Source organism: Homo sapiens, chromosome 12 (genome assembly GCF_000001405.40).
Source record: "Homo sapiens chromosome 12, GRCh38.p14 Primary Assembly".
NCBI classification, from domain to species: Eukaryota; Metazoa; Chordata; class Mammalia; order Primates; family Hominidae; genus Homo; species Homo sapiens.
Window position 1 is genome coordinate 120641400 of NC_000012.12, and position 23714 is coordinate 120665113.

Consider the following 23714-nt stretch of genomic DNA (forward strand, 5'->3'; position numbering starts at 1 on the left):
GGTTGCGCGTCCACAGCCTCCTCCCGCGGCCCGTGGTCCCCCACGGATCACGCCTCGGCTCACCTCGTCCTCCCCGGGCCGGCGCCCTTGCCGGCACTCCTCCTCCCCGTGCCTGATTCAGCACCCCGTGCGCTGTCCACGCTCCGGGCCTCTTGGGGCAAGGCCCTCCCCGCTAGCCTCCCTCATACCCGCCAGAACCCGCCAGTCCTGGAAGAGAGCGACCTCTACGACCGTCCTGGAGATTTGCGGGGGTCAAGGAGGGGCGCTCCGAGCAGGTGGCGCCAAACCCACTCCTCTGGCCTCTGGCCAGTACCGCCAGGGAGGGACTCAGGAGAGCAAGCGGTTTGGAGTCTGGGGGTCAAGAGAGGGGACCTCAGAGAACACAGAATTACTTGAGGGCGAGGGACACTGGCCACTGCCTATCATGTCCCTGAAGGCCTGAGAAAAGTTAGGAGATCCAAAAATATGAGGAAAGAGAAGAGGTGTCTGGGTAGGCATGGAGGGGCATGCAGAGCTGTGGCTCAAACTGGAACTTTGGGGTGGTTTAAGGAGGCTGTCACTCTAGGGATGCCATTGGAAGGGTGAGAAAGGCCACAAAGAGGTCATCAGTGGTTCCCTCAGGCCTTTCCCTCAAGAGTCCCAGGCACCTGGGAGCCTGCCCTTTAAAAGCAGCTCCGTAGTCACAATATAGGTCTACAGTTTGAGGCTGTGCTGCTGGGGAAACAGGCTCAGTAGAAGGAAACCTCTGAACTCCTGAGCAAAAAAGCCAGGGTTTCCCCTAGTTCGGAGTCTGTAATCAAGTCAAACTCATTGGCACAGCTTTGAGACAGTTCTGTGGCAGCCTCCGAGAGGTGTCATGCAGAGGTCTGATTAGAGCGTTTGCGTGGTTTGTAGGGAAACAGGGGGGGCTGTGCCTTTCTGTGCTGAGATCTAGCATAAAGAAGCTGTTTCAAGCTCCTGGCTTGCCACGCCGGATCAGAATTCCAAGGAGGCCCTGTGTGTTTTGCTTCAGATCTGCACATTTCTTTTCAAAATACTACTCGGCAGTGGCTGATGCTGGTGGAGGTCTGACATGAAGGCAGCCGCACATGGATTTGGGTTGCGTGGTGCTGCTGTGGTGGGGCCATAGGGCAGTGGTGTGTGGCTTTGTTCCTGCAGGGAGCCCTCGTTAGCCGAGTTAGCTGGAAACAGTTCTCTGGAGTAGAGATGTGGATGCAGAGCCGTGAGAGTTAGTGAGGCGATGTGTCAGGGGAGTTCACTGCAGTGCTTTGTGTTAATGAGGAGGTGTAGGCTGCCAGGGCACGAGTGGTCTTTGGATTGGGGCTGGGTTGCAGCAGGAATGCTGGGTTGTTGAATGGGTGATACCAATTCATTCATTTATCAATTATTTCTTGAGCATTTATTAAGGAAACCTTCAGGGGTTTCCTTAGTTCCTGTGGTTTGTTTGTTCAGACATTTGCTAGACACCAGGAAGACAACAGTGAACCAGATAGCCAGGGCCCTGGCTGTACCTAGCAGTTTGGAAGGGTAGGTCATTGGCCTAGAATCATACACTTTCTGGTTACTCAGTTTGCAGCTGATCTGACTCAGCTCCTGAAAAAAAAAAAAAAAAAGAGTCCTTTCTTTCCTGTCTTGCAGAATTTGCCTACATGAGCCCTTTCTGAGCTCCGAGCATTGTAGCGACGTGCTTTTGTTTCTCCTTCTAATTTCTCAGTCATTAAGTGAATTCTCCGGCCCAATGTTCTGAAATGTCACCAGGGTCACCTGAGTCAGGAGGAGCTGGAAGTTCCCATCAAATATTTACTACCTCCCTGTGGAAGCTCTTGCCTCTCAGCTGCGGGCTTTTACTTTAAAGCCCAGCACATTCAGTTTGGGCTTCCATCTGACACCTCGAAGTCATCTACGTGAGCAACAACAGCAAACCCAGGCTGGGACTTTCGTGTCAGAGCCTCCAGTCTCCTGTGACAGAGAGGAATTAATCTTTTCTTCCCTTTTCTCCGTATTGAGATTTCTGTCCTTAGAGGCAGGGTCAGAACCAAGAGAAGGCAGATGGGGTTCTGAATACAGAAACTTTTAGTTAAGATCTGCTTAGAGAAAAATACAGCCCTGGGGAAGTATATTTTTCATGACTCCCCAAGTTTCATTTGTTTTTAACTTAAGTGAATTGCTTAACCTCATTAAGTCTATTTCTTTTTTAAAAAATATATTTTATAATAGAGACAGGGTCTCACTATGTTGCCCGGGCAGTCTGGAAATCCTGGGCTCAAGTGATCCACCTGTTTCAGCCTCCCAAAGTGCTGGGATGACAGGCATGAGCCACCGTGCTTGGCCAAGTCTATTTCTTTACCTGCAATGTAGGGATCATCAGGGTGCTTGGGAGATTAAATGAGATACGGAGAGATAGAGAGAGCTTGGCCCAGGCCTGGCACGGAGCCCTTGCTAACTCTATCAGTGTTAGTTATTCTTCTTCTTTGTTGTTATTGTTGATTAACTACCAAGGCCTTCTTCCTTTTCATTTGTAATAGTCTCAGAGAGCCAGTGTTCAGAATCACACTGAAGGCACAAAGATGAATTCCTACCTTAAAGGAAACAGGGATGAAAACTCTCCCAGTGACCTCATAGAGCATCCTTATTGCATATGCATGGAGACAGCGTGGTTTTGAGGCTAAGGTGTGGAATGGTGGCTTGGGAGACAGCAGAGATGCAAGTTCTAATCCTGGCTCTGTCACTTTCGATCTCTGTGTCCTTGGGCATGTTATTTTCTCTCTCTGGTCTTGGTTTCTTCATCCAGGAATGAGATTGACAAAAACTGCTTTGCAGTTATTAGGAGGCTTACACAAGATTAAGGATATCAAATGCCTGGCTCATAGTGAGTGCTGGATAAAGGGCAGCCTTCATTAATGTTATTGCTATTATTAATAGGGTAATTGAATGAGGGCCTGGGTAAGGTACTTTGAAAGCTGATTCTGAGCCAGGTGAGGATGGCTATTAAGGGAAGGAGCTGAATGTCAAAGGATCTTCCGTACTCCCTCTTTGTGGCCAGCTAAGGACATGCCACCCAGCTGTCTAGAGAAGATGTGATGTCAGAAATTAACTCGGCAGAGGCATGATGACATGGGGCTTTAGGTCTTGGAAGACTATTTTAAGAAACAGGCTTTCTGCTCCTTACCCTGAGCTTGAGAAGAAACATGCCTTGTGGAGGAGGCAAATGTGGATAAAACCCACAGCTCTGTCCCATCCTTCCCATTTTTCCAGCTGTAGAAACACGTCTCCTAATACAGATAGGCTATCCCTGTTCCCATACTGCTTTGCACATAGCAGGATCACAGTATTTAATGAATGAATGAATGAGTGAATGAATGGTATCACCAGCCTCCGGACTTCAGAGGCTTCCTTAGCTCCTGTGGTTTGTTTGTTTATTTTGAGACACAGTGTCACTCTGTCACCCAGACTAGAGTGCAGTGGTATGATCTTGGCTCACTGCAACCTCTGCCTCCAAGATTCAAGCCATTCACGTGCTTCAGCCTCCTGAATAGCTGGAATTACAGGTGCCTGCCACCGCACCTGGCTAATTTTTGTATTGTTAGTAGAGATGGAGTTTCACCACGTTGGCCAGGCTGGTCTCGAACTCCTGACCTCAAGTGATCCATCCGCCTCAACCTCCCAAAGTGCTGGGATTACAGGAGTGAGCTACCACGCCCGGCCAGTTCCTGTGGTTGAGATGGGGAGAGAGGCCATGGTGGTTTGGGTCATGGATTTAATTGCACTAAGCCTAGGTTCCTAAGATAGGGCTGTGTCTATTCCTCACTCCTACTCCAGTCATGTGTCTCCCTCCTTCTCTCTGAGAGGGCTTGGAGCCCCTATAGGCTTTCTCTGGGGCCTGGGGAGAGGGAAAGTGAGGGTCAGCTTGTGGTTAACATCAGCCACAGGTGATAGGAGTGGCTTGGAGTCAGTTCAGTGAGAGCCTCCAGGAGGTCAGCCTTTACCTCCAGCTGTTTTTGAGAGGCAACAATAGCACTTGAGGCCTCAGTCTAGAGCCCACTGCACAGTGGACAAAGTGTCTTCTTATCTTCACAGCTACCTGTGAAGGTTAGCATCATCAACTCCCCCCAACCCCACCACAACAATTTTAGAAATGAGGAAGGCTTGGCCAGGCACAGTGGCTCACACATGTAATCCCAGCACTTTGGGAAGCCAAGGTGGGTGGATCACTTGAGGTCAGGAGTTTGAGACCAGCCAGGCCAACACAGTGAGACCCATCTCTACTAAAAATACAAAAATTAGCTGGGTGTGGTGGTGGGCGCCTGTAACCCCAGCTACTCGGGAGGCTGAGGCATGAGAATTGCTTGAACCCAGGAGGTGGAGGTTGCAGTGAGCTGAGATTGTGCCTCTGCACTCCAGCCTGGGTGACGGAGGAAGACTCTGTCTGGAAAAAAAAGAAATGAGGAAGGCTCAAGAGAGAGGAAATGACTTGTCCAAAGGTCATATAGTAAGTACATGGCAGGGCCAGGTGTAGTGGTTCACATCTGTAATTGCAGCACTTTGGGAGGCCAAGTCAGGAGGATTGCTTGAGCCCAAGAGTTTGAGGCTGCAGTGAACTATGATTGCACCACTGTACTCTAGCCACAGTGACAGAGTGAGACCCTGTCTCTAAAAATAAGTAAATAAGTAGGTGGCAGGACTGTGCTGAGAATTGTGGTCTGCCTGCCTCCGAAAATACCTGCCTGTTCTGTGTGTGCCATGCTGCTTTGGTGGGAGGTCACATAAGTGTGTTCCCTGTTCGTCAGAAGCATCTGCAAAGCACCTCTCACGTTACAGTCCAGCTTTCCCTGAGTGTCTTAGTACCGGGCTGTCATCCAAGTTCAAAGGCTGGTGATAGTTCAAATGCTGGTGATAGAACTGACCAGCGCCAAAGGCCAGCCTCCCTTCTAATCAGGAATAATCAGCAATGAGTTTATCCTTCTCATCCCTCTGATCCTATCATTCCATTCCAGCACTCAAAGTAGGGCTTCCGGAGGCCCAAGGGCTGCTGCCACAGTGGATAGAGATGGGAGGTGAGGGCATACAACATGCTTCACTCCTTACAGGAAGCCCCCACCGTTCAGCCTTTTTTGTTTTTTGTTTTGTTTTGAAGAGACAAGGTCTTGCTCTGTCACCCAGGCTGGAGTGCAGGGTACAATCATAGCTCACTGCAGCCTCAAACTCCTGGGCTCAAGTGATCCTCCTGCCCTAGCCTCCTGAGTATCTATGACCAGGGGCACAGCTGCCATGCCTGGCTAATTTTAAAATTTTTAATAGAGATGGGGTCTTGCTATGTTGCCCAGGCTGGTCTTGAACTCCTGGCCTCAACTGATCCTCCCACCTCAGCCTCTTGAAGTGCTGGGATTACAGGCATAAGCCGCCATACCCAGCTGTTCAGCCCTTTTAAAATTTCCTACTGAAGGCTGAGCCCTCTGTCCCTCCTGCCTATCTGCCCGGCTCAAGTTAGCTTAAGTAAGCTTTAAAGCACGTCGAAATCCCTGGATCCCTTGCTATCCTCAAACCTCAAGGTAGTATCAGCTCCTGCACCTGCCCCCAAAGCAGGATGGGATTTCTTCAAAGTGTGTGATTTTTCCATAGGGACCAGGTTTTGCCGGCTCCTGTCTCCTGTTTCCAACGACAGAGGCATATCCCAAGGTCGACAAGTGGGTGCTATGCCCGGACTGGCCTGCAGGGGGCAGGAACCACCAGATTTGACTGAGTTGATGCCCTGCTGAATAAATGGATGCCACGCTTGGCCCTTTAATACCAATGCTGGGCAGGGGAAGACGGCGCTTTCTAGATGCTTGGCACAGTGCCAAGCCCTTTGCATGTATTATCTCATTAGCTCCTCACAAGAGCCCTGTGGGAGGTGCTATTAGAATCCCTATTTTATAAATGAAGAAACTGAAGCCGAGAAAGATCAACATGTCCTCTAGGCCACATGGTTACTGAGCAGCAGACAAGATTTTTTTTTTTTTTTTAAATAGAGATGAGGTCTCACTATGTTGTCCAGGCTGGTCTCGAACTCCTGGGCTCAATGATCCTCCTGCCTTGGCCTCCAAGGATTACAGGTGTGAGCCACCATGCCCGGCCCAGGATATGATTTGAATCCAAGTCAGCGTGACTCCTCAGTCCAAGCCTTTTTTTTTTTTTTTTTTTTTTTTTGAGATGAAGTCTCACTCTGTCGCTCAGCCTGGAGTGCAATGACGCGATCTCGACTCACTGCAATCTCCGCCTCCCGGGTTCAAGGGATTCTCTTGCCTCAGCCTCTCGAGTAGCGGCGACTGCAGGCACCTGCCACCACGCCCAGCTAACTTTTGTATTTTTTTTTTTTTTTTTTTAGTAGAGACAGCGTTTCACCACGTTGGCCAGGCTGGCCTCGAACTCCTGACCTCAGGTGATCCACCTGCCTATGCCTCCCAAAGTGCTGGGATTACAGGTGTGAGCCACCACGCCCCGCCCCAAGCTCTTAGCCTCTACATCAGTGCTTCCCAACACTGGCTGCAGGTTAGAATTACCTGGGAGTACTAAGCAACACCAATGCCCAGTGCCCATTGGAGACAGAATTAAGTTAGAATTTCTGGGGAAGCTCCCCAGTTATGCCAGTCTACAGCCAGCATTGAGAATCTCTGCTTTATGCTGTGCTGTTTTGGCCTTTACATATATCCACCCATTCATACCTGGACCTTAACCTGAGCTTCCCTCTGGGGTCCCTAGTGAGCACTATTGTTTCAAAGGAACCTACATATGGTCTATTTTCTAGATTTTGCCTGCAAGTCTTTCCTGATCCCCTAGACTCAGACAGATTCCCCTCACTCACATTCCCAGAGTTTTTGTGTTTTCCCTTCATAGCATTTATCTGAAATGTAATCAGATAACTGTGTCCCAGCTCTAATATCTCCTGCCCACCTGCTAGAATGTAAGCGTCCTGAAATCAGGAACTGTGTTTCTCTTATCCCCCAACAACGTTCCCAGAGCCAAGCACGGTGCCTGACATTTCTCCACTGGACAAGTGATACTTCTTTCTTCCATTTAAATAATTACTGATCCAGTAGCTATTCGGTGTCTTACACTTTCTCATGTATGCTATATAAGCAAGCTAGGAAAAGCCCCATTTTTCCAGTGGCGGAAACTGAAGTTCAGGAATGGGAGGCAGCCACCCAGTCAGAAGCTGGCAGCGCTGGGCATGGTGTCTCATGTCTGTAATCCCAGCACTTCGGGAGGCCAAGGCAGGTGGATCACCTGAGGTCAGGAGTTCAAGAGTAGCCTGTTCAACATGGTGAAACCCCATCTCTACTAAAAATACAAAAATTAGCCAGGCATGAAGTTGTGCGTCTGTAATCCTAGCTACTCGGGAGGCTGAGCCAGGAGAATCGCTTCAACCCAGGAGGCAGAGGTTGCAGTGAGCTGAGATTGCGGCACTGCACTCCAGCCTGGGCAACAGAGCAAGACACTGTCTAAAAAAAAAAAAAAAAGAAGCTGGCAGAGCTAGACTCAACCCCAGACCTCCCCGTCCTTCCCATTCATTGGAGTCCACTGACCCCTGCCTGGGCCTGCTTCCTTCATGCTGTTTCCAGGAGACACGCATCATCACCCTCTTTTCTGTTCTTTAGTCATCAATACCCGCCCCCCAGGCTCCTCCTCCTCCATCTCCCCCTCCAGAGGTTTGGCCCAAACAAGGCTGCTGAGTAACTCCCCTGATTAAACCATTGCGTGGTTGTCAGCAGCAGCACCGGGGAGGTCCAGGAGTTATCCAGGGACCTCCTTCCCAGCTCCCTAGGAGTGAGCACCCTCTGGGCAGCGCCCCCACCCATCTTCCTAACAGGAGTTCTGAGCAGCCCCCCCACACGGGAGAAAAGTTCCTGGGAAAGGAGGCTCTCCGGGCTGAAAACTGAGCTAGCGTGCAAGAATGGGCTTGGGAGGAGTTCTGCTTCCAGTCTATCTCTGGTGCCCCCTGCTGGAAAAAGCTGGGTGCAGGAAACAGGGACACTTGCACGCGGGGAATCTGGCTGGGGCTGTAGGTCTCAAACCGGACATCTGAGGCGTGAGATGAATTCATATCAAAGCCGACCCTGGAGGGACGAGGAAGAGCCAGTCATCTAAAAAGCTCCAGCTGTGGGACCTCGAAGAGCGCTTCGTAAAGGGCTTCTTCTCTGCCCGGCACCCCAAGGAAGCTGGGGAGAGGTCTTTGCTGTGGATGAGGCAGGGGGCGAGGAGGAGGAGGTTCAGAGACCTTTTGCTCATGCCCTCTCTGCCTGCGCTGCCTCCGTCATGCTCCCCTCGGGGCCATCTCCTGGTTTCCTTCGGGTCAGAGAAATTGCACACAGAGCAGAAGGATCTGATCTGACTGTTGGCTCATCTGCACTGCCGGCCCCCGAGCCTCGTCCCATTTCAGTGACAAGGCAAGTGTGAAAAATGGAGCATGATGGAGGCGTCACCAGACCTCCCAGGCTCTCGACTGGAGCCGCAGCTCTCAATGCAGCTGGAATTGCCAGGGGCAGTGAGTGCTTGTCCAGCTCACTGCTCTTTGGAAGGGGCATTCATCTCCCTGAGCGCTTGTGTGTGCATGCATGTGTGTGTGTGTTTGTGCGCGCGTGTGTGTGTGCATGCACGTTTGTGTGTGTGTGTGTGCGCGCGCGCACACACACAAGGCTGGGAGCTGTGCGGCAGGCACCCTGGCTTCGGGAACCCAAACTAGCCAGCTTCCCTTTCTGGGCCTGCTGGCCTAATTCCCAGCCGCAGCTGCCATTCTGGGCCCCCCTCCCTGAGGCCATCTCCCTGCAGATTTGGCAGCGGGGAAAGGAGGGGCCGAGAGAAGGGGAGAGAACCAGAGACAGGACTGAGCGCTAATCTGATGTAGATGATCCGGCAGCCTTCTCCAGCTTGGTTCCCCTCTGCCATCAGCTCTCCAGGTGACTTTCCCTGTGCCCTGCACTCTCCCCTTCTGCTTTCATCTCCTTAAGAAAGTGCCCAGAAAGTTAAACCCACACACAAACACACACACAATCCACCCAAAAAAAAAAAAAATCGGAGAGCAGGAGCAGGCAGACGAGTAAGAGAGCACGCGCGCAAGAGAGGGCTCACATCCGTCCTGGAGGAAGAACGGCACAGACGGAGGGAGGCTGGGGTTGGCAGAGACTGGGACGGAAGTCCCTCAGTCCCCCAGGAGCCTCCTTCATGGACCCGGGGATCCCAAGAGGGGCTGCCTCAACTTAGGATGGGCAACTGTGTCAAGTATCCACTGAGAAATCTCTCAAGGAAGGTATGTTTTTGGAGTTTCCAAGATCTGGGGCTGGGGATTGGGGGTATCTCACCATCTGTCTCAGAGGTTGGGCACAGAAAGGGTGGCTGGAGCTTGCTATCCTTCCCAGGGGTTCTGTCCAGGGCTGCCTCCCTGCTTCTACCCCAAACACCCTCCTATTGCCGTTTTCTGTGTCCCAGGCTTTGGGCATGGCGGTCGGGGTGAAACTGTGTTTGGGAATTTGCACAAGGCTTAGGAAAGAAACTGTGTAGCTTTGGGGTTTCTAGGATGTAAAATGAAAAGGGTGGATCCTTAAGATGTCAGTGAACTTGACTGGCACCTCAGTCATTCAAGGGACTGGCCAAGTCCCTTAAAACCGGCAGAATCTGAAGACCCTTCCCAGCAGCAAGGGCAGGGACTCGTTCATATCCTTTGAGGGTCTGTGAGCCTCTCTGATGGCCTCTAAGCCTTCAGAATTGTGGATTTTGAAGTAGATCCCATTGCTACTGAAAGGAACCAAACAACAATAATTCTTCCCCAATAATTCTTGAGTTAAGTCAGAGTATCTCAAATAGGACCCGAGTGGTTTTAGGGCCCAGGAGTTTTTCCATTAAGAAGTAGGCTGCCCGGGTGATGTGTTGAGCAGGGGTTGCATGTAAGTCACTTTCTGTGGTGGCTTTATCGCCATACACTTGGATTTGTTTTTGTTTTTGCAAAAATTCCTTTTAGAAAGAACATGATCATCTCTAAAGCATCTTTCATGCAAGGCTGGGTTTGCACCTATAGGGTTTTGGGTTAGGTGGGCTCTGCGTATTTTTCTAGCCCTCTGTTGCCAGGCCATAGAAGAGACTCAGGTATTATTTAAAGGAAGAGGGAATGATGGCGTTGTTTTCCTCCAATTCTTCCATTTTCCAGACAAGGAACTTGATTGACATTCAGAGGGAGGGGTTAAGTGACTTACCTATGGCCTCGGGTGAGCTATTGGCGTCTGTATCCCCAACCCCATCCTATCTTGGTCAGTTTACCAGCCTCTCAATTTAGGACACTTTGGGCTTTTCTGCCTGTCGTCTTCCTCATTTGGCTAAGCTGCTCACATCAAATTCCTTCTAATCTTTGCTGTTCCTTAGATCCTTCCAAGGGCTTGTTGTTTCTTCCATGCACGCCTCCCCCATAATCTGGTATCTTCTTAGGGGAGTCTTCTGCATCGGAAGTGCCCTCCGCGCTGTCCCAGAGAAGCAGAAAGTGATCTGAATTAGCCCTTGTAATAGGTTCCATCCAGAGCTTGAGGAAGTGAACTTAAGAACAAGGATTATCCTTCTGTCCCACCCATCTTCCCTTACACAACAGCATGCTTAAGAGTCAGATTACACAGGCCTCCTCTTTCTGGCCATGTGACCTTAGACAGATTACTTAACCTCTCTGTTCCTCGATTCCCTTGTCCATCCATCAATTGGGCATACTAATATCCACCTCTTAAGGTGATTCTGGGAATGAAATAAAGTGCTGTGCACAGTGCCTGGCCTATAGTAGTCAATAAATGTTAGTATTCTTGTCATCATAACCATAATTGTTCCACTCTGGGTTTTAGAGAAGCGGGATGGAGGAGAAACAGGAAATAGGAGAGATTTTCAGTCCACAGAGTAAAAGATAAAAAAACTTACTGCAGTCAATTTCGTGTTTCTATCATAGTATTAATAATTGCTTTTTTTTTTTTCTAAATATCTGCAACATACCTAATGTCTGTTATCTCATTTTCTCTTTTCCGCTACATAGTTCTTTTGGCTGTTTTATAGAGAAAGAAGCTGGACTCAGAGATAGAGCCTTCCTAAGGTTACACAGTCGATAGGAAGCAGAGCTGGGATTTAAACCCTGGTCTGTGTAAAATCAGAGCTGGCATTTTATTTTTATTTTTTCCTCTACGAGAGGCTGCCTCTCTCTTTCCCCTGCTGTCAGAAATGTTATTCATAGATTTCTGGATCTGACCTTAGAAGTCGTCTAGTCCAAATTCCCGCTCAGCGCATCAGTCCCCTCCCCGCTCACCAGGCACTCCCTCATTCGGCTTCTCCTTGAAGACATTCATTCGGCAAGAGGGAGCTTTGATGTGCATACTCTTGGCCAGCTTGTATTATTAGAAAGCTGTTAGGTCATGAGGCACACTTGCCCCTCCTGTTGCCATGCCACACTTAGGAGACGTTGCCTTGGTGCCAGGAGAAATTGTCGGTCCATGGGTTGCTGCCCACTTGGCTTCCTGAGCGGTATCTGGGGAACTGGAAATGGTGAGAGGCAGCCTGCACCAGGCTCAGAGCTGGGCAGGACCAGGCTGTCAGGTGCCATCATTGGCCAGAAAAGAATTGCAGCCTCTGGGGCAACTTGGTGTTAGGCAGTATTATGATCAAGAGATGCAGTGGAAATTCCCCAGCTACCACTCTCCATTCTTCATGGGAGCAAATTCCTCTCCATCCTTCTCATTTCTTTCCTGATTGGCAGATGCTCCCCCACTTCCTCTGCAGCCAGAAGTAAATGCCTTCTGGCACCCAGCATCTCTTAAATTACATCACTGCCACCACCATCATCATCGCCATCATTGCCATCACTATGGCAACTCTATTTATTCACCTCCTCTTGCCATGCCCTAGCCACCATGCAGAGCACTTTATGTGTATAACTCATTACTTGTCGCAGGAATCCTGTGACTAGTCATGAGCATCTCCCACAGTATGGAGAAGGAAGCTGGAGCACAGAGAGGTGAAATGACCTGCCCAAGGTCACACAGCAAGCAAGTGGCAGAGCCAGAATTTGTCCCTAAGACTGTTTGAGCCCAAAGCCAGCAGGCTAAACTGCCTTTTAAAGTTTTGTTTTGTTTTGTTTTGTTTTTTGTTTTTTTGTGGTTTTGAGATGGAGTCTCGCTCTGTTACCCAAGCTGGAGTGCAGTGGCGCATCTCGGCTCACTGAAGCCTCTGCCTCCTGGGTTCAGTGATTTTCCTGCCTCAGCTTCCCAAGTAGCTGGGATTATGGGTGCCCGCCACCACACGCGGCTAATTTTTGTATTTTTAGTACAGACGGGGTTTCGCCATGTTGGCAGGCTGGTCTTGAACTCCCAACTTCAGGTCATCCACCCGCCTCGGCCTCCCAAAGTGCTGGGATGACAGGCATGAGCCACCACGCCCGGCCCGCCTCTTGGAGTTCTGTGCCACCTGCTACCTCCCTGCCTTCCTGGGTTATGCTATCTCTGAGCCAAGTGCAGAAGATTCAGCCAGAAACAAAAATGCTGACTCTCTGCAGACATCTCCTGAGACTGGTTCCTGGGGTTCGGCCAGTCACTGTTATCTCAGGCATGCTTTGATCCACTCTCCCAGATGGGAAGGTCTCTCTTGTTCTGCCTCGCTCTAGTCTTGCCTCGCTCTAGTCTAGGTCCCAGAAGTCTGAGTGAGTGAAGCCGAGGCTCTGAATCACAACTCTTTGGGATATCAAACCAGGAGGGGCTCTTGGCCTGTCTGACATCCCTCAAGTTTTGGGATCACCTAAAACAGACATTTATTGCACTCATCAAACTTGACCCTGGGACTGAGTTCCTTCACCTCCAGCCTGAGTAGCTGCTTCCTCTTTGAGGAACCGGAATACTGCACCACCCTCTCTAGGCCTGGAAGGGGCTTAGGAAGTTGGAAGGGAGTCTCGGTCTGTAGTCCCACAGGGCTTTGGGGAGAGGAAGCAGGAGAGGACACGGTGGGCAGGGGGTTGTTCTGAGTCTCAACCTGGAAGGACAGGCTGCCCCTGGGTCTTGGGATGTTCTCCTAAGCAGGGCCTTCTTTGCCCTGGAGGAATCTGACTGCAAGTAGAATGCAGTAGGATGGAAGGATAGGGTGCGCAGACCTGCACTTCTCAGACAAAGAGCCCTCAGGGTTTCAGCTCCTGTCGCTCCTTGGGAAGGTCCTACTCTAGCTAAATCCCCCCACATTGAAGGAAGGTATGTAAGCTCCAGGCCGAAGGCAGAGTGCAGGCCGAAGGCAGAGTGCAGGCCGAAGGCAGAGTGCAGGCCGAAGGCAGAGTGCAGGAGCTGGATTCTGTAGAGGCACTGGGCATCCCGGGAGGCTGGGGAGAACTGAATGTTGTGTCTGGAAGCTGCTGTTGTCCTAAGGGGAAGGTCTGTGGGCAGTGCGGACTTTTTATAGCCGCATGGGAACCTTCAGGGCGGAGGATCGGCTGGTCAGGGCCTGGGAGCACAGCTATATTAGGTAAGCAGAGAAGGGCCCTGCCTTAGCCTCTAGAGGTCCGGCACTCTGGGCCAGGCAGGGAGCCAGGGAAGGCGGGAGGGAGGAAAAGGAGAACTGGTGGATGGCAGAGAGTGTCTAGTCTTGAAATCACAAACTGGGTGGAATCCTACCTACAGATGTGCCTTGTGTGGCCCACCCGGTGCTTTAAATCAGATCTGGTTACACTGGGCTGGAGTTAAGTAGTGCTACCTCTTCAGAGGGGTCACCATCTCAGGCTAGGTGCGGTGGCTCACGCCTGTAATCCCAGCACTTTGGGAGGCTGAGGCAGGAGGATCACCTGAGATCAGGAGTTCGAGACCACCCTGGCCAACATGGTGAAACCCCATCTCTGCTGAAAATACGGAAAAAAAAATTAGCCAGTGTGGTGGTGGGTGCCTGTAAACCAAGCTACTCAGGAGGCTGAGGCAGGAGAATCACTTGAATCCGGGAGTCAGAGGTTGCAGTGAGCCAAGATCACGCCACTGCACTCCAGCCTGGGCGACAGAGTGCACTAGCCACACACGAAAAAGGAGGGGGCATGTTTCCACTTTGCCCCAGTCCCCACCTCTCACACCCTGCCTGCTTCATTTATGTCAGCAATGGCACCTGCATGTGCAACCTCTGGTCTGGCAGACCAGCCAAGCCTGGTCTCCATGCTGCCAGCTCCGATTGCCCTCACTGCCTTCCAGCGGGGATCTGGCTGGAGTAGGACAAGTCTGTTTGGGAGCTGGGAGGAATGACTTAGCCCTGGAGATTGACTGAATTGGGAGGTTGGGAGCATTTTGGGAAAGGATGTTGTCTCATTAGGCTCTGAGTGAACACTTCCCATTGGTGAGAATAGAAGCCCCCCGCTGCCCCTGTCTCTTCATGCACTTGGGTGTGTGATTCTGTGCATATGTATGTGCCAGTGCGTGCGTGCGTGTGTGTGTGTGTGTGTGTGCGCATGTGCCACACAGAGGGCATCACATTCAGCTCTCCCCGGAACCACCATTTCCGTCAAGGATTGGAGACTCTGTCTGTTGGACCAATTTGATGCCTGTGCACGCTCAGGGCTCTCTGAACCCCGCTCCTTGACTCTCAGGGTCCCCTCTTGCGGAAAGCCCCTCCCGGGACCAGGAGCCAGGCTGGGCAGGGAGGTGACACCCTGCCTCTCTTTTGCATTTGCTTGGTGCTGGCTGAAGATGTGCCAGGAGGAACAGACCAGCTACATGGTGGTGCAGACGAGCGAGGAGGGGCTGGCGGCTGACGCCGAGCTCCCGGGACCGCTCCTGATGCTGGCCCAGAACTGCGCAGTCATGCACAACCTGCTGGGCCCTGCCTGCATTTTCCTGCGCAAGGGCTTCGCTGAGAACAGGCAGCCTGTACGTAAGTTGGCCCAGTGGAGCCCGCTGAACTTGGCTTCACAGGGCGTGAGGAGGTGCTGGGATGAAGAAGGGGTCTATACAGAGCTCACACCCCCAACTTATGAATCTGATCCCCAAAGTTTTCCACTCATGGCTACAAAGTGCTGGTGAGTCCATATCCACGAGCAAAATAATGATGATGATAATAATAATAATAATATCAGATACATTGTTTTGAGCACTTACTAGGTGAGCACTGTGCCTAGTGTGTTGGCGGATTGCCTCATTTAAGCCTCAGAGCAGCTCTAAGAGGTAGGTGCTTTTATCATCCCCATTTTACAGATGAGAAAACTGACTTGGGCTGGGCGCAGCGGCTCACGCCTGTAATCCCAGCACTTTGGGAGGCCGAGGTAGGTGGATCACTTGAGGTCAGGAGTTTGAGACCACCCTGGCCAACATGGTGAAACCCCATCTCTACTAAAATACAAAAATTAGCTAGGCATGGTGGCGGGTGCCTGTAATCCCAGCTACTCAAGAGGCTGAGGCAGGAGAATCGCTTGAACCCAGGAGGCAGAGGTTGCAGTGAGCCAAGGTCGCGCCATGGCACTCCAGCCTGGGTGACAGAGTAAGACTCCAACTCAAAAAAGAAAGAAAGAAAGAAAACTGGAGTGCAGAGGTCACATGCTCGAGGTAACAGCTTGTTGGTGGTAGAGGTAGGATTCACACTTGGATAGCCTGACTCAAGAGCCTCTTGTGCTCCTAATGACAACTCTGTATACGTGGCACTGTCCGGTAGAACTTTCTACAGTGATGGAAATATTCTAAATTCCGTGCTGTCCGATACAGTAGCCACTAGCCACATGTGGCTATTGACCACTTGAAATGTGGCTAGTGCAACTAAGGAACTGAATTATGGATTTTATGTTATTCTTACTCAAATTTACATAGCCACATGTGGCTAGCGGCTAGTGAATTGGCCAGCTTTCTACAAGTAGCTAAATAGTTCAAAGAGAGGAGAGGACTAATGAGGATGTTATAGAGGTAAACATTTGTAGGTTGCATTTATTGAATGCCACATGCTAAACACTTTAATATCTTGTCTCACTGAATGCACACTAAGGCCCTGTGAGGTGGGTACTGGTATTAACCCATTTTACAGATGAGGAGACTGTGGCTCAAACAGCAGAGTGACCTGCCTGAGGAAGTAGATCTGAGCTTCATACTCAGGTCTGTCTGCCTCTAGAGTCCAAGTGCGTCTCCCCAGCCACATGTACTGGGGAGAAAGGCGTGTTCCTGCACCCCATTCCACCTGACCCTGAGTTGCTGCACGTGATCTTCCTGGCACATTAGTGGGCATCCCTGGCTCTACTCCAGGGCAGAGAACACACATAGCTACTGCTGTGCATGGGGTGTGTGATCCAAGGACCAGCCATCAGTGCTCAGCAGACCAGCTCTGGTGGCGGGCACACTCCGTGAAGGGGCACCTGGCTTTGCTGCCCCCGGGGCTTTGGGTGTACAGGAGGAACGGAAGGGGCTGCCATGGGGTCAGCAATGCCTGTTCCTCCCGAGTCCTGCAGAACTGGGCCTTGGAGAAGTGGGAGGCTGCTTAAGGCCTGATGCGTGGGAAAGGATTTATTGGGTCTCAGTAGCTGGTCCTAGGGCGTGTGCTCTGCATGTATGTGTACACACGTGTGCTTACTCACTCGCTTTCACAGACTGCTGGTATGACCCATTGCACAAAACATCCTTTTTGGTCACCCAAAAACATCTACGAACATATGGGTTTGTGTTGGAATGGCTGTGACCTACCCTTAAGCCAGGCACCATCACCAGCTTTTTTTTTTTTTTTTTTTTTTTGAGACAGAGTCTCACTCTCTTGTCCAGGTGGAAGTGCAGTGGTGCAATCTTGGATCACTGCAATCTCTGCCTCCCAGGCTCAAGTGATTCTCCTGCCTCAGCCTCCCGAGTAGCTGGGACTACAGGCGTGAACCACCATGCTTGGCTAACTAAAACAAGGTTTTTTGGTAGAGACGAGGTCTCACTATATCGCCCAGGCTGGTCTCGAACTCCTGGCTTCAAGTGATCCCCTCGCCTTGGCCTCGTAAAGTGCTAGGATTACAGGCGTGGACCACCGTGCCTGGCCCATAGCGAGCTTTTTAGGTGAACGTCCATGCAGTCATCTCAGAGACACGCCTCCCTATGGGTGACTCCTACCCCCAGCCTGGCGGAGCTGGGAGCTTGCAGCCTGCTCCCTCCAAGCTCACACACACTCTCAACGCTGTCCTGCCACACAGAGCTACCTCTGAGCTCTTGGTCCTATGCACCTGGTTGTCCCATGAGATGTGACTCAGCAGCCCTTCCCTTTCTAGATGATCTGCAGATTTTCTGGTGTTGTCGTCTTTTGTCCTGGGGCCAGTTTGGAGTGGCTGTCTCTACTCATCCTGGCCCCGTTGGCTGGAACGGCCTGCATGCACAGTGGAGGTGCCACACGCTCACTGTGGCATGCCTGCGTGTCTGTGTTCGTGGGAGGTATGGCCATACCTGTGTGAGCCTCTTCAGGACGGGCACACCTGCCTGGTGTCCTCCCTGCCCAAAGGCAAAGAGCTGCAACATGCGGGAGGCTGGACGCTGAAGGCCACTTTTGGAGTCTACTAACCAGGTCCAGCTGGGCACCTGTATCCATTTCATGCCAGTCTATCTCCCTCCTGGGCAGGCCCAGGGCAACTGGCAGCTCACCAACCTGAGCTTCCTCCAGGCCTGCTCCTTGGAGATGTCTCTGCCATCTGTTCTGACGCCTAGATTCAGGGTTGCCTTGATTGCCCAGGAGACCTGGGCACTGCTTGAGGCTGGAGACATGTGCTTTTTGGACCCTGGCTCCAGCCAGAAGCACTGGTGGCCCCCGGGGTCCTATGTGGTGTCCTGTGATCCCATGACAGGGGAACGTACAGGGATGGGGGTCAAATTGGAGAAGGTGGGGCAGTGCCCGCGAAGCAGTCACAGCCCCATTCTGTTGCCACGTCTCCTCCTGACTCCTCCCTGTCCTCCTACCCTCGCTTCAGGATGGCCCTGCCTTCCCTCCCCTCCTGCGCCTCTTCTGTTGTCTTGCAGCCTCTGTCGCCCTGCTCTTCCTGTTTCATTGGGTGGTGCTCTCTTTTCCCTGTTGTGACCTCCCTGGACTCTGTTTTATTTGCAGGTTTTTGCCACCAGGCAAGCTCTGTTCTCTGACTCATTCTTTTTTTGTTTTTTTTTTTTGAGACAGGGTCTCACTCTGTTGTCCAGGGTGACAGAGTGCAATGGCACCATCATAGCTCACTACAGCCTCAAACTCCTGCTGACCCATTCTTGTATCTGGAACAAGGGGCTGGAGGCACAGAGGTTCTGTGCCCAGGCTGGTGGGGCTGGTGGCTTCTTGGGCATCTCCTGTTAGGGGCCCAGGAGCTTCTATGTCTAAGGGAGATGTGGGGCTTTCTTCTCCCCTCAAGGACCTGATCCAGGCACACCTGTGCTGCATCCTCGTCACCTCCTACCCAGTGCCTGCTGCCACGTGGATGGCCCCCAGGTTAGGTATTTTGTGACTTCCAGGTCCCTTGTCGCGGCTAATAGGACATGTTCTTTTGTTTCAGGATAGATCACTGCGACCAGAGGAAATTGAAGGTAAAACTTGGCCCCTTGGGGGAAAGGACTGCCTAGCCCTCTAGGAAGGTGTGGGAAGGGAGGTTGATGGGAAGAGAGGCCCCTGGAAATGGGGCCTGGTGCAACGCGGGGTATCTTCTGTGAAACCAGCTGCTGAAGGTGTGCACAGGAGGCAAGAGAAATGCCCCAGCATCCTGGGAAGCTCCTGGGCCTCTCTTTCCATGCCGGTGGGCCTTTGGGCTGCCTTTGCCCACAGAGGCTCTGCGGGTCCTACCCCTGACCACATCCACCTTTGCTCACTTCCCCAGAGCTCCGAGAGGCCTTCAGAGAATTCGACAAGGACAAGGATGGCTACATCAACTGCCGGGATCTGGGCAACTGCATGCGCACCATGGGCTACATGCCCACCGAGATGGAGCTCATCGAACTGTCCCAGCAGATCAACATGAACCGTGAGTCCCTCTACCAGGCATCTGCGTCCCTTCGGTCCTCACCCTTGCCGTCCTCTGCAGTCAGACAGGACTGGCTTCAAATTCTGCATCCACCTCTTACCAGCTCTGTGATCTGGGGCCAACCACTTACCCTCTCTGAGCCTCAGTTTCCTCACCTGTAAAATGAGGGCCGAATTGGAGGAGTGGAGCCCAGAAAGTAGATTAGGGAATATCTGTAAAACAGCCCAATAACTGGCTCACAGGAAGAACTGAACAGAGGGCTCTTGTTATTATTAAGTTTGTCTCTATCTGATGAGCAGGTCAAGGAGGGGTTGTCCATTCTGTCAGTTGTCTAGTTGGAGACAGGGAATGGGTATGTCGGGGATGACCTAGCCCTTTCCTCCTTTTCCAGTGGGTGGCCATGTAGATTTTGATGACTTCGTGGAGCTAATGGGGCCTAAACTCCTGGCAGAGACAGCAGATATGATTGGTGTAAAGGAACTGCGAGATGCTTTCCGAGAGGTAACGGACAGAGGCAGGCAGGCATGGGGCGGCTATTGGAATCCTATCTGCAGTATAAATACTTCAAAAGAAGCCTGAGCCTCAAGTCCCAGATCAGGGGAGGGAGCTTGGACAGAGAAAGGTCTCTGGTAAAGGGGGGCAATGACACTGGAGAAGGAGCTCAACTTTGGGATCTGCTGCTGCCAATCGCCATGCTGGGGCGACCTCTCCTTCCTTCCTGCCTTCTCTAGTTTGACACCAATGGTGATGGGGAAATAAGCACCAGTGAGCTGCGAGAGGCTATGAGGAAGCTCCTGGGTCATCAGGTGGGACACCGAGACATAGAGGAAATTATCCGAGATGTGGACCTCAATGGGGATGGACGAGTGGACTTTGAAGGTAGGTGGGGCTTGAAAGTGGGAGAGAAGCAAGCCAGCAGTGGCCATCCATGGAGCCCTCCAATTGTGTATCCATCATGCAACCATCAATCCGCCCTAATTTTCCAACCCCCAGCCCTTTCATCCTCTTATCCCTCCGTCCATGCCCCCGTCTAATCCATCTCCCATCCCTTCCCCATGCATCTATTCATGCATCTGTCCATCCATCTATCCATCCTCTACCTTTCCATTCATCTGTCCATTTATCCATCCATTCATCTACCTATCTATCCATCTGTCCACCATCCATCCATCCATCCATTTATCTACCCATCTATCCATCCATCCATCCTCTACCTATCCATCCATCTGTCCATTTATCCATTCATCCATTCATCTACCTATCTATCTATCTGTCCATCATCCATCCATCCATTTATCCATCCATCCATCCGTCCATCCATTCGTCTACATATCTATCCATCCATCCATCCATCCATCCACCTATCCATCCATCTGTCCATCCATTCATCTACCTATTCATCTATCTGTCCATCTTTCCATATCTATCTCTCCATTTTTCATCTGTTTATCTCCTTATCTGTCCAGATGCCTATTTATCCATTCCTCCATCTCTAAGCAATCATTCCTATAGCAATTTATCCATGCATTTATCTGTCCATTCGTGCATCTATTCATTCTTCTCTACATTCACCCATGAATCTATCTATGTATTCATCTACTCATATAGATCTCTCTATGTGTTCACACTTCTATACTTCCATTCACACATTCATGTCTCTTCGTCTGCATATACTTCTACCCATACTTGCATTGATCTATCCATCTATCTGTTCAGTCATTTCCTCATCTATATCCATCTACTCATCCATTCACCCATCCCTGTGTCCATCTGCACCCATCCTTCTCTATCCATTTATCTGTCTACCCACGCATGCATCCATCCACGGTAGGTGTTTTCTGAACATTACATTCCTCAACTGGACACTCAGGCTCCCTAAGATCTGACCACAGCTCACCTCCCCAGCCACAACTCAACAGTCCTTCATTCACACTCCACCAAAATACTTGTGATCAGTGAAGCTGCTAGGGTCCCTCTTGAATACACTGATCTTTTTGCCAGGAGGGCTTTTTTGTTGTTGTTTGTTTGTTTGTTTGTTTGAGACAGAGTCTCACTCTGTTGCCCAGGCTGGAGTGTGGTGGCAGGATCTTGGCTCACTGCAAACTGCGCCTCCCAGATTCAAGTGATTCTCCTGCCTCAGCTTCCCAAGTAGCTGGGATTACAGGCGCCCACCACCATGCCCGGCTAATTTTTGTATTTTCAGTTGAGACGGGGTTTCACCATGTTGACCAGGCTAGTCTTGAACTCCTGACCTCAAGTGATCCACCCGCCTCGGCCTCCCAAAGTGCTGGGATTACAGGCGTGAGCCACTGTGCCTGGCCACCAGGAGGGCTTTTATCCTGTTCTTTTTTTTTTTTTTTTTGAGACAAAGTCTCGCTCTTGTACTCCAGGCTGGAGTGCAATGGCACGATCTCAGCTCACTGCAACCTCTGCCTCCTGGATTCAAGCGATTCTCCTGCCTCAGCCTCCCGAATAGCTGGGATTACAGGCGCCTACCACCACGTCCAGCTAGTTTTTGTATTTTCAGTAGAGATGGGGTTTCACTATGTTGGCCAGGCTGGTCTGGAACTCCTGAACTCAGGTGATCCACCCGCCTTGGCCTCCCAAAGTGCTGGGATTATAGGTGTGAGCCACTGCATCTGGCCTATCCTGTTTTTTACTTGGGCTAAGTTCTGTTAGCCCAAGGGACATTCTTCATGACTCGACAGTGGGACTCCTTCTTCTAGCACCCTTCCCTGGTTCCTCAAACTGAACTTCCTCTTTTCTGGGTTTTCACAGCACGTCAGGCTCACCTGTTCTTCACACTGTCCCCTAACTGCTGGTTAGAGTTGTCTTCCCAGTTGACTCTGAACTTTGAAAGAAGAACCCTATTTTCTTAATCACTGCATTTCTTGCATAACACAGCTAGTGCTCAGTGAAAGGTTATTTATTTATTTATTTATTTATTTATTTTAAGACAGGGTCTTGCTCTGTCGCCCAGGCTGGAGTGCAGTGGCGTAATCTCGGCTCACTGCAACCTCCGCCTCCCGGGTTCAAGTGATTCTTGTGGCTCAGCCTCCCGAGTAGCTGGGACTATAGGGGTGCACCACCATGCCTGGCTAATTTTTTGTATTTTTAGTAGAGACAGGGTTTCACCATGTTGGCCAGGCTGGTCTCGAACTCCTGGCCTCAAGTGATCCACCCGCCTTAGCCTCCCAAAGTGCTGGGATTACAGTCGTGAGCCACCGCGCCCAGCCTCAAAGACTTTCTTTTTAAAGAATCAATAGTAATCATAATAGTTATAATTTACTGTACACTTATGTGCAGTCATTGTACTAAGTAGCTTTACACATATTCTTACATTTAATTCTCAGAATGACTCTATGGATTGCATTATTATAACCTCATGTTACAGATGAGGAAACTGAGGCTCAGAGAAGTAATATAACTAGCTCAAGATTGCCTGCCTACTAAGAGGCAGAGCTGGGGCACAGCCCCAGGCCTGAAATCACAGCAGAATGCAGTCTTGTGCATGACGCCATGTGAGGCACTACGGGATACAGGGAAAGGGTAAAATGTTGACTCTGCACACCAGGAACTTGCATTCTGAGCAGAAAGACAAGATAAGCATGTGCCAGAGACCGTGAGTGTCCAGAACACAAAGGCTGGGAGGTTTTCTCTCAGGAGCAGTTGGCCTTCAAGGCCAGGGAGCGTGGATAGTTGGAGAGAAGGCTTTGTTATCACCAGATCTGGAAATCTCAGGTCTCCCTGTATCCAGGTAGCGCCCACCACAGATGACAGCCTTGCTCTTGAAAGCCTGGCATCCCCCATTCATCCTACGAGGATGCATTGTACATCTGCTGTGTGCTAAGATCTGGTCTCTGCCTCGAAGAGCTCAAAACCAGCAAGAAAACCAGAGAAAACAATAGCATAATCCATGTGTGCTGGGGGAAGCACAGGGGGCTGCTATAGAGGGGGCGCCTGTGCCAAGTTGCAGGGAGGGATTAGGGAAGACTTCCTGGAGGAGGTTATAAATAATTAGAGCCCCCCAAAATGGGAAGAGCCACCAGGTGAGAGGGAAGGGCAGGTATTTACCCAAATGAGTTGAAAACCTATGTCCACACAAATCTGTACATAGATGCTTATAGCAGCTTTATTCATAATTGTCCAAACTTGGAAACAACCAAGGTGTCCTTTCAGTAAGTGATGGATAAATAAACGGGGGCACATCCAGACAATGGGATATTGCTCAGTGCTAAAAAGAGATGAGCTAGGCCAGGCGCTGTGGCTCATGCCTGTAATCCCAGCACTATGGTAGGCCGAGGTGGGCAGATCACTTGATGTCAGGAGTTTGAGACCAGCCTGATCAACATGGTGAAACCCTGTCTCTATTAAAAATACAAAAAAAATTAGCTGGGTGTGGTGGCGCACACCTGTAATCCCAGCACTTGGGAGGCTGAGACACAGAATCGCTTGAACCCGGGAGGCGGAGGTTGTAGTGAGCTGAGATGGTACTGCTGCACTCCAGCCTGGGCAACAGAGCAAGACTCTGTCTCAAAAAGAAAAAAAAAAAAGAGAGAGAGAGAGATGAGCTATCTAGTCATGAAAAGACATGGTGAAGAGGGGACACACATGCATATTACTAAGTGAAAAGCCAATCTGAAAACACTGCATACCCTATGATTTCATCTATATGACATTCTGGAAAAGGCAAAACTATGGAGACAGTAAAAAGATCAGTGGGTGCAAGGGGTTGGGGGGAGGGAGGGATGAATAGGCAGAGAAGAGAAGATTT

General features: G+C 50.8%; 1 protein-coding gene across 8 annotated transcripts in view, besides 3 other annotated features; it reads left to right on the forward strand.

The window, feature by feature from the left end:
• Window positions 1-23714, forward strand: part of CABP1 (calcium binding protein 1) — a 40241-nt gene that overhangs the window by 774 nt on the left and 15753 nt on the right. For 2 of the 8 annotated variants that reach the window (XM_017020238.3, NM_031205.4), the window contains exons 1-6: window positions 8878-9283; window positions 14694-14873; window positions 18479-18509; window positions 18797-18940; window positions 19332-19441; window positions 19672-19819. In XM_017020238.3, the coding sequence (XP_016875727.1) occupies window positions 9239-9283; window positions 14694-14873; window positions 18479-18509; window positions 18797-18940; window positions 19332-19441; window positions 19672-19819 (658 nt within the window). In that variant the 5' untranslated portion in view covers window positions 8878-9238. The other 6 variants (XM_017020239.3, NM_004276.5, XM_017020235.2 and 3 more) reach the window with 4 other exon arrangements.
• Window positions 107-206: a silencer, noted in NCBI's record as "silent region_4960". NCBI's record gives its function as "represses an Ori minimal core promoter by ATAC-STARR-seq in GM12878 lymphoblastoid cells {active_cell/tissue: GM12878}" and the evidence as "EXISTENCE:reporter gene assay evidence [ECO:0000049][PMID:35858748]".
• Window positions 16953-17454: an enhancer, noted in NCBI's record as "H3K4me1 hESC enhancer chr12:121096155-121096656 (GRCh37/hg19 assembly coordinates)". NCBI's record gives its function as "activates a minimal SCP1, AML or CMV promoter by ChIP-STARR-seq in primed H9 embryonic stem cells {active_cell/tissue: H9 hESC(primed)}" and the evidence as "EXISTENCE:reporter gene assay evidence [ECO:0000049][PMID:30033119]".
• Window positions 17455-17954: an enhancer, noted in NCBI's record as "H3K4me1 hESC enhancer chr12:121096657-121097156 (GRCh37/hg19 assembly coordinates)". NCBI's record gives its function as "activates a minimal SCP1, AML or CMV promoter by ChIP-STARR-seq in primed H9 embryonic stem cells {active_cell/tissue: H9 hESC(primed)}" and the evidence as "EXISTENCE:reporter gene assay evidence [ECO:0000049][PMID:30033119]".